This window comes from Homo sapiens, chromosome 5, assembly GCF_000001405.40.
Source record: "Homo sapiens chromosome 5, GRCh38.p14 Primary Assembly".
Classification (NCBI taxonomy): Eukaryota; Metazoa; Chordata; class Mammalia; order Primates; family Hominidae; genus Homo; species Homo sapiens.
In genome coordinates this window covers 166,379,905-166,390,811 of record NC_000005.10, presented here as the reverse complement: position 1 = coordinate 166,390,811, position 10,907 = coordinate 166,379,905, and the positions used below count along the sequence as shown (strand labels likewise).

The 10,907-nt window shown below is 37.2% G+C and overlaps 1 pseudogene, besides 1 other annotated feature; it reads right to left on the bottom strand.

Moving 5' to 3' along the window:
- Positions 5,463 to 5,632: an enhancer, noted in NCBI's record as "experimental_83529 CRE fragment used in MPRA reporter constructs". NCBI's record gives its function as "activates a minimal promoter by MPRAs in K562 erythroleukemia cells, with activity observed for both the introgressed and non-introgressed 5:165812270 variant alleles {active_cell/tissue: K562}" and the evidence as "EXISTENCE:reporter gene assay evidence [ECO:0000049][PMID:34662402]".
- RPLP0P9 (ribosomal protein lateral stalk subunit P0 pseudogene 9) lies at positions 8,137 to 8,507 on the bottom strand (annotated as a pseudogene).

The following is a 10,907-nucleotide window of genomic DNA, read 5'->3' as shown; positions in this document are numbered from 1 at the left end:
CCCAGCCTGGGCAACAGAGAAAGCCTCCACCTCAAAAAAAAAAACAAAAAACAAAAAAAAAAAACCATAATTGTCTTGATACAACTTCTTGCTTAGAAACAACTCTTGGCTAAACTTTTCCACGGTACACAAGGAAGACATTCAAATTGCTCATTTGAGAACAATGTTGAGCTGCAACATGTTAAAAGATAACTCCATATTATTTCTCAAGCACCCACTGGCATATAGCTTTGTAGTAGGCACTATTATAGGAGCAAATAAGCATTTGTTTTTTTATATCACATATTTCTTCTTCCACTGAAAAGATTTCCATTTTTCCTGAAGTCATCACTTTTATGTACTCATTTGGTCAATGAAGGAGAACTACAGGTATGTTCTGCTAATTTTCAACCACTTAAAATATATAGAATTAAGCTAGAATTATGAAGCTGTTTGCTGCAATACTATCCATCCTTTCATAAGAAGGGTAAAGTGTGATTTTTATTTTATTTTATTTTTTGAAGTTCTCTGTTCTGTAATGTTCTATAACCTGAAAAGTTTTCTGAATGTATTCCATTCTTCCAGAAATGGAATGGCAGGCTCTCAGCCTCCCGCTGGCATAACTGGTGAGAAGTCAGAAATTCATCCAATAGAAGAATGTGAATTCTCCCCATCTTTTATATTTTCAGTACTTTGAACTCTAAACTAAGCTAAATTACAGTCTTTTTATGTAAAACAGTTACAAAACTTCTGTATAAAATATTAGACAATTGAAATCTACATTGTCGTTCCATTTCTAATGCCAACCAAAAGTTAACCTAGTATGAGTTAGCAAAATCTTATAATAGCCAAATTGCTTAATCTTTCCTTATTCCTCAAATATTTGAGAGGTGGGAGTTTTCAGGGATCATGGCCATAAAGTGCAAAGATGAAAAGGCCATATAAAGAAAAATCAAGAGTGTTGGAAGAAAGGCTCTCTGTTGAAGAGGGCTGTGTCTATCTCAACTCTGAATCATGCAGTGGAGGAGCTTGGGCACGACCAGGTCCAGTGAATGTGCTGAGTGGTTGGGTTGACCCAGCATTGCTTGAAACATCAAAGCCCTGCAAAAAACATGTTACAAATAACAGAGGCTGAAATGTGCAGCACAAGACTCTTTTAAATGATTTTCAAGTTCTTTGGCTGAAAAGTTTTCTGAATGTATTCCATTCTTCCATGCTTTTGTAGAGAATAGACTGAATATAATGGGATATTTTACTGATGAATTTGGGTCAATATTACAAACGTTACACTTGTATTACAATTAGTGTAGTATTACTCTGGTATTATAAATACTAATTAATCAATTCATGCCCGATTGAAGTACCCAGGTAGTGATTAATTTTAATGCGGACCACTGTGTATTGTCCCTTCATTATATGGTACCTCAAACCTTTGCTTTTATGTTTTTATAATTAATACATCTTTTGTCTTTTTTACCGTCAGCTATTACATCCATGTTTGTTTATTCTAATTGCCTATTTTCTACTTTTAATTAATAACACCAACAATTAAACAACTAGTTTCATGAAACACTTCCACATTCATTTTCACATATATTTATATAAATCTTAGAAGAAAGACAAGCAACAGTCTGCATTAAATAACTTGCTTGAGGCTTCATGTTCTCCCTTCAGAGGAGAAGGACCAAACTTGAAGTTATTCAGAAGGAATCTCAGGTTGAAATAAAGAATGAATTTCTAAGAATTAGAAAATGTACAGCAATGAAGTTTATCATATTCTTCTCCATTATACTATTGGAATATATTATGATGACCTTCAACAATTACACCCAACTAAATCTGAGATCATAGAGCAATTCACCTTCTGAGAGTCAAAGTTATGCTTTCCAAAGTTCTGAAGCAACAAGCCCAGAAGAGAATTGCAAGCCCAATTCCAGTCAAGCTTAGGAGTCAAGTTCCCTCTCATCAAGATGGCAGACTCTCAGTCTCCCACTGGCATGACTGTAAGATAACCCCAGAAAGCCAATCTACGGATTCTGAGAGATGGTATCCCTGCCATGTTATGTTATTATTAAAATAAGGCAAAATCAGGACAGTAGGAAATAGGTCATTTCCTGCCATAGATGAATGGAAAATAGATCCATATAGAAGAAAGTTTGGTTGATATTTGCAATGAAGGCATTTTGAAGGGTGGAAAATGGGAAATTATGCAATTTCTGGCACCAAGCTTAGGAGTCAAGGTCTCTCCATCAAGATGGCAGGCTCTCAGTCTCCCACTGCCATGACTGGTGAGAAATCAGAAATGAATCCAATAGGAGAATATGAATTCTCCTCAACTTACTTTAACTTCTCATGTTAACAAATTAATTATTACATTAACAGAAGAATGTGAATTATCCTTAGCAAAACCTTATAATAGCCAAATCCCTTAGTCTTTCCTTATTCCCTAAGCTTCCAGCTGGATGGATTTAGGTAGATTTTTCCCTGTAGATGGAACTATTTTTCAACTTTGTGTGTGTGGGCTTTTTTTTTTTTTTTTTTTTTTTTGACTTGCTCTGTTGCCCAGGCTAGAGTGCAGTGGTGCGATCTTGGCTCACTCCAACTTCTGCTTCCTGGGTTCAAGAGATTCTCCTGCCTCAGCCTCCCAAGTAGCTGGAATTACAGTCACATGCCACCACGCTTGGCTAATTTTTTGTATTTGTATTAGAGATGGGGTTTCACCATGTTGGCCAGGCTGGTCTTGAACTCCTGACCTCAGGTGATCTGCCTGCCTCGGCCTCCCAAAGTGCTGGGATTGCAGGCGTGAGCCACTGTGCCCAGCCTCAACTTTGTTTAAAGCTTTCCTTACTACCCTTTGCACTTGCAGTATCAGCCATTTTAGCAGGCTCATATTCTCCCTCTGGCTTTTTATCAGGACCACACTAATTGCCAAGGTCTTGTTGTTAGTTTTCTTCCACAGTCTTTTTCAGCTTTTTTCTTGATAACCTTTCAATTCTATACAGTGAACTTTATAATATATTTATCTCCAGCACAAAACCATCTTCTTGACACCAAATAGGCTTTGCCTATTGAACATCAACAACTGAATATGTTACCTGCTAACCAAGCTCATTCTCCCTACCCCTACATTAATAATTTCTTTAGACATCCCAATTTTTATTACTGGAAGCACTGTTCCCCCTGTTCTTCTAACTCACATCTTTAGGAAGGGAAAGAAATGAAAGGAGCACTCTGCAATGATTTCTCTAACCTCAATCTCTTTGATTCTACAACCCTATTATTTTTACAGATTACATCCTACCTTATTATTTTGTCACAGTAGAATGGGTAGCTGTGGTTCCCTAGGTCTATTGTCTTTGTTTTCCTCAATTCCTCCTACCCATGACTGCTGCAATAATCTTCCAAAATACATGGCTCTGATTGTCTTACTCTTGTTTTCAAAACTTTCACTAGTACAAATCCAATTAATCATGAACTCCTCAGTCTGTCATTCATGGTTCTTTATACTCTAGCCCTAAGCTATCTTCTGAATCTAAATTCCCAATTATTGCACCACGAGGCAATCTCCAGACTTTGCTGATAATTTTGCTTTTCTTTGCATATGTTCTAAACTTTAGTACTCTATTCTTGCCTTCTGCTTGAGATACAAACTCGCATATATGCCTTGTGAAAGCGTTCTTGTTTTGCAAATATCCTTCCTCCAACCTATGTGACATCTGTCTACTTCGTACTCCCTCAGAACCTAGCCAAGAGCCTTATACATAGGTTTTTAATAAATATTTGTTCAATTCAACTGAATTGAGTGGAAGTTCTTTCACAAACCCATAGTAAAAAAGTTAAACATGTACTGCTCTTTATTTTCCTTCTGTTCTAATAGAACATCAGCTATGTAATTGGTCTTCTTAGTATTCTTCCTCTTTACCTCTACACTTTTTTTTTTTTTAATGTTGCAAAAGCATCAACTGAAAAGAAGTTACAAAGACACATGGGAACATCTGCTCTCAGAAGCCACTTGAAAAATAAGTATGCCACAGAATGGGGAAAACATCTGTGTAGTGTTCAAGAGATTATTAGTTGTGCTGTAGAAAAGTAGCAGAGAGTGAGAGAGAAACAGATCCACACACACACACACACACACATACACGCACACACGTAAACACCAAAATCAAGAAATGAGTTTTAGCAAGAAATAGTGTAGCATACAGTTGGAGACCAGAGTAAGACTTTATTCTCCCTTAACCTTGTTATTTAGTGTTTCTTCAGAAGGAACAAAAGAGCTATTTTGTCCTTCAGATTGTATTCCTGAATAGAAAATATTCATAGCTGTAACTTCATCTGATTAGTCCAGAGGAGAGGTAAGTTTCAAAATGCCAACATTTTATCTCAAATAATACAACTGATCTCATGACTAATTATATGTAGATTCCAGGCAGCTGCCTGTTACTATAACAGAAAAAGCTTAATTAGCATTAGAAGACTCGAGTTCTGTACCTAGATTTACAACTAAAATTGGCTACTTTAAAGTATTTTAATTTTTATTTATTTCATTAAATTTTACTAAATTTAAATAAGTCCATGACCCTTGTATTTAATCAACATTTCCCCTAAGGAGAGCTGCAATTCAGACCTAGCCTCACTTTAAGTATGATACTCGTACAGACAACATTGAACCATTAACCTTATATAAGATAATATTAGAGGTCAGGCACGGTCACTCAAGCCTGTAATCCTAGCACTTTGGGAGGTTGAGGTGGGTGGATCACTTGAGGTCAGGAGTTTGAAACCAGCCTAGCCAACATGGTTAAACCCTGTCTCTACAAAAATACAAAAATTAGCTGGGCATGGTGGTGGGCACCTGTAATCCCAGCTACTGGGGAGGCTGAGCCAGGAGAATTGCTTAAGCCCAGAAGATGGAGGTTGCAGTGAGTGGAGATCGTGCCACTACACTCCGGCCTGGGTGACAGAGCAAGACTCCATCTCAACATAATAATAATAATATTAGAAAATTAATTTGTACATCCCCCAAAGCAAACAAACCATATAGACTGCTTTTGTTAACGTAATGAAGTATGCTGTCTTGGACTAACAAAATATGCTGTCTTTGGAGCCTTCACAGGTCCAAAAATCTGTTTATTCTATTTGATTCAGATTTGTTTAAAATTTCAGGAAATGTCTATAGGCAGAGTATTTCTTGTTGTTCATTTTTGGATTCGTCGGTACTTTAAGATCCTATTATAGCTTGTTCAAGGTATTTATCTTCAAGATGCTTTAAAATTTACTTGGTATGCATGGATTAAAGCTACTACCTATTAATATGAACAAAATAGAATTCCAAGGAGGCAGTAAACCTGGCACTTCTTTTCCTAAATAAAGGGGGAAGGCATGACATGTAGAATTGGGAGACATAATAACTATCTGATCCAATCTTCTGAGTTTACAAATACTACACAAGAAATAATTCATAAGGCAAATGTGTTCATGGCAACAGATGGCAGTGACTGGATATTTGATGGGTTCTCCATGCCTCATGCTAAAAGACACTGAGGCTACCTACCACTTCTCTTAAAGGCCTTTGATATACATGGGAGACTTGGTTATTTTTTCCTAAGTTTAATTCAAAATTAAACATGGGGTGGGGGCACCTGATTTTTTTTTTCTTTTGAAATACGTGGTCTTGGACAATAGATAAATTAGAAGAATGATGAGGTTGCTGTCCTCAGATACAAAAATGACTTTTCAAGCAATAATTTTTTTAATCTGTATTACCCTAGAGGTCAAAACTGGGGCCAGTGGTTACATGTGAGAGGAAGTCAAGCAGTAGCAGCTCATTATAATGAGGAATGTTTAAACATTAACATTAAGAATGCTCTGGTGATTACTATCACGTCCTTTTAATGAAAAGAATGCTCATCTTTGGAGGTGTCCATTTAGACGTAAGGGAAAGAGATGTTAGGGATATTCTAGAGAAGATCCTCATACTAAATTTGTGCAAATTACCTCTTTATTAAAGAAAAGTACTTCATTTACTCATTTGGAGTTCAAACTGACAATAGCAAATAAATTGATATAATGAATGACTTCTCCCTCTAGGGAAGAAGAGGGGCAGCCCTTCTGGAATAGTGTGTCCATAAGCACATGGCAAGTATAACATGGAAGGAGCTGGAGAAGTGAGGACAAATCTCATAATCCTTTCACACTTTACTCTATAAAATAGAAAGGACTTTAATACATGCCTTATGGGTTGTTTGGCTCAAATGCCATATAAGCTAATAGAGTTAGTGATTTTCCTTCAAAGTCCTGCCCTCTCTAACTGTTCAAAGGAGGAGGAAGAACACCGGCATTCATTCTCATCCATACACTGAAGATTTGAATGATTTTAAACAAACACTTTCCCTTTGATTAATCTGTTTTCTCACCTCAGGAACTGATTGTTTAAAACATATTCTACTGTCCACTTTAAATACTATGATTCTTTGGCTCTAAGCCTGCCCTCTTTCTATAGCCCAGATTGAGGCTAGTCTTGGAAAATGGCTAGAATGTATGTTCTTAGTTCAGTATCACCTCAAAAAAGCCCATTAGGAGGACAGATTATTAGGGCTAAGGGAAGTGAACCTTCAGAATTCTGTAAGAAGGAGAAAATGTCTTAGCAGAATTTTCATATTTATATACTCTTGGTGTTTTTACTTAAATCCCTTGCAGACCCTGAAATGGGACTCCAGGGACTCTACGGCTATATGATCAAAATGACTATGTATGTTTCACTTCATCTCAGGCCCTGGAAGGAAAAATATTCTTCTTACACAGCCTGGCACCAAGGGATAATGAAACTATTTCTCTATGGCCTCCTGATGGGTCAGCATCCTCCTGAAAATACTCTTCCTACAGGGTGAAAAATAATTCTCCATATATGTGAAATGCCTTGAGCTCTTTAGAAGAAAAACCCAGGTTAAATTTCAGCTATGATTATTACCATCATTATCCCTCACTCATTCCATATAATCTGACACATTATATTCCCTTCAGCCCCATGGAACCCCTTTTCTGAATGTTGATTCATTAAAAATTCATGTATAATAAAAAATTCTGTGTGCCTAGAAATTCAGTGAACCCCATTTTTTATGGGAAATCTGTTTCTTCTGATCGTAAAAATAGTGTATTTTCTCTTGGATGTTTGCATTTACATCAGTAGAGTGTTCTATCAAAAACAATCTGAGATACAGACAAGAGGTTAGTGGAATAGAAATAAGATTGTACTACATGATCTGTTTCTATAGACCAATCTTGTGTCTCAAGATTTCTTTCAGAGGCATTAATTTTTCCATATTCTCTTTACAGATCTGAAATTGGCCTTTTTTTCAAAAAAGGTATGAATCCTTTCAAGAGGTGTCATTTAAACGCTGAGAGCATCAAATTCAAAAATGAGGAATCCTTGCAAGCACTCCATAATGCCTCAGTTTCAATTCATTGCAAAGACTAAAATAAATTGTGTGTGATTTTTCCAAAGTGACACTTATTAGTATATTGCAAAAAAAGAAAACAAACAGGAGTTGTAACATGAGCAAGCATATTTTCAGTATGTAAGTCACTTCCTGGGAATTAGATGTTAGGGACACCTGCTTATCACGATGGAGATTTTAACATCAGCATTGCACTAAACTAGAGAATAGCTGATACTTTGTTCTTTATTTTAACAAAGGAGAGATAGAGCTTGAGTACCATCCAACCTAATCTACAGATTTCTTCATTGTATCTTTAGTATGTATTTAAAGTCAGCTTCACTAGTCACATCTTCTGGTGTGAAGCACGTTCATCCAACAAGACTTCCAGATAATTAATGGTTGTATAATTACATCCCAAGTACATTTCTAGAACTGAAGATATAGGGATGAATCAGACATATTCCCTTGTGGTCTGAATCTCACAGATTTGGGAATTTAAAAAGACATATAAAATATGTAATCCAGATGTCAGCTGTCCCCTCGTGCCATGTACAATTTTAACCTGTTTCAGATTCTATGCACTGCTATAACTCCCTTGCTATTTGGCCAAAAGAGCCTCTGACACCAAAAGTGTAAGTGAAGTCTACAGTTTTCACTTAAGATGAGGTGGTAGTAATGGAGAGGGATTTACACCTCATAACTTACTCTTTTTTTTTTTTTTTTAAAGAAGTAAGCCTTTATTTCCTTGTTTTGCAAATAAAGCTGGCTAAGTTGGTTGCTTTTTGGTGATTAGTCAAAGAGACCAAATCCCATATCCTCGTCCGACTCCTCCGACTCTTCCTTGGCTTCAACCTTAGCTGGGGCTGCAGCAGCAGCAGGAGCAGCTGTGGTGGCAGCAGCCACAGGGGCAGCAGCCACAAAGGCAGATGGATCAGCCAAGAAGGCCTTGACCTTTTCAGCGAGTGGGAAGGTGTAATCCGTCTCCACAGACAAGGCCAGGACTCGTTTGTACCCGTTGATGATAGAATGGGGTACTGATGCAACAGTTGGGTAGCCAATCTGCAGACAGACACTGGCAACATTGCGGACTTACTCTTAAAGATACAAAAACTTCCACCAGGTATGATGCAATCCTAACCTCCTCTTTCCCATGGGGTGGGGGCACACTGAAGGTAAGGCCAGTAAGGTTTTCTCTGCCATTTCTCCAGGCATAAGGCCCTCTGGTGGTTGTTTTCTCTGATCTGTTTACTCTCACTGTTTCTCAAGTCTCACAACTCTTCAATAGTTGTGCAAACCAACTCATTCCTCTCACAGCTTCTACATACAGATTCATGCACACACACACACCCATTATCCTGCTCAAAAGAAATACCCATCACCCCTTAAAACTATATGATTTATAAAAAGAAAAGACACAGAAACAATTCTGACAAAAATGAAGATATAGATAAATACTATGGAGGCCGGAAGAGAATTTAATTTACTTAGTAGGCTACATTTGAATGCAATTTAGGAACCTATATCAGTAGCATTTGCAGCTTCCACTGGCATTATTATCTGAGGTTCTGACATCCTCAGCAGGGAAGAAGGTGAGACAGGTACTATGATTCTCTCTAGATGATACTGATGGCAGCCTAGAAGAGTAAACACTTCACATACTTGTTTATGTATACCTATGTTTGCAAGGATGACCCAGAAAACAGTGGCAGAAGTGAACTTTGGGGAGGAGATCTGGGAGACAGGGGGGATAAGCCCAGCTCTAATATTTGAAGGCTCTGGGTTAAAAGTACAAATAGAGGCTGTATATTAACTGGTTAAATGTTTAAAAGTCATAAACCAAGCTAATAAAACTGTTAAATAGTCTATTCTCTGCTATGACAACTATATCGTTACAGTAGCAAAATATAAAAACCCTAGAAGAAAACCTAGGCAATACCATTCCGGACATAGGCATGGGCAAGGACTTCATGACTAAAACACCAAAAGCAATGGCAACAAAAGCCACAATTGACAAATGGGATCTAATTAAACTAAAGAGCTTCTGCACAGCAAAAGAAACTACCATCAGAGTGAACAGGTAACCTATAGAATGGGAGAAAATTTTTACAACCTACCCATCTGACAAAGGGCTACTATCCAGAATCTACAAAGAACTTAAACAAATTGACAAGAAAAAATCAAACAACCCCATCAAAAATGGGAAAAGGATATGAACAGATACTTCTCAAAAGAAGACATTTATGCAGCCAAAAGACACATGAAAAAACGCTCATCATCACTAGCCATCAGAGAAATGCAAATCAAAACCACAATGAGAGACCATCTCACACCAGTTAGAATGCTGATCATTAAAAAGTCAGGAAACAACAGGTGCTGGAGAGGATGTGGAGAAATAGGAACACTTTTACACTGTTGGTGGGACTGCAAACTAGTTCAACCATTGTGGAAGACAGTGTGGCGATTCCTCAAGGATCTAGAACCGGAAATACCATTTGACCCAGCCATCCCATTACTGGGTATATACCCAACGGATTCTAAAGCATGCTGCTATAAAGACATATGCACACGTATGTTTATTGTGGCACTATTCACAATAACAAAGACTTGGAACCAACCCAAATGTCCATCAATGATAGACTGGATTAAGAAAATGTGGCACATATACACCATGGAATACTACGCAGCCATAAAAAAGGATGAGTTCCTGTCCTTTGTAGGGACATGGATGAAGCTGGAAATCATCATTTTGAGCAAACCACCGCAAGGACAGAAAACCAAACACCGCATGTTCTCACTCATAGGTGGGAATTGAACAATGAGAACACCTGGACACAGGGTGGGGAACGTCACACACTGGAGCCTGTCGTGGGGTTGGGGGAAGGAGGAGGGATAGCATTAGGAGATATACCTAATGTAAATGACGAGTTAACCAGGGCAGCAAACCAACATGGCACGTGTATACATATGTAACAAACCTACATGCTGTGCACATGTATCCTAGAACTTAAAGTATAATAAAAAATAAAATTAAAAATTGAAATTAAAAATTAAAATTTTAAAACAGAAAAATATGTGCAAAACTATGGTTATATTTCTAAAAGTCGACAAAATAACAAAGATGACTCAATTTTATTAATGATACATTTCTTGTGGTTTTGTTGAAGAGTCAACAATGTTGAGACGAGTAATAAAGACATAATCATTATATATTTAATACATAAAGTTATTATATATTGATTACATAAAATTCTTTACATTATATATGTATTACATAAAATTATTATAAAATAAAATAATTAAAATAAAGCAAATACAAATTAGTAACAAAATAGATACCATATATTTAACATAAGTTAATTTTAATAAACAACAACAATAATAACTGATAGCAACAGCAGCCCATCTGGAGAAGCTACTGTGAAGAGGCAGGCTGCAGCGGGGAAGGGATTGCAGGGGCTGCGTGCTCCACAGAGCTGGCGGGAGCCAAGA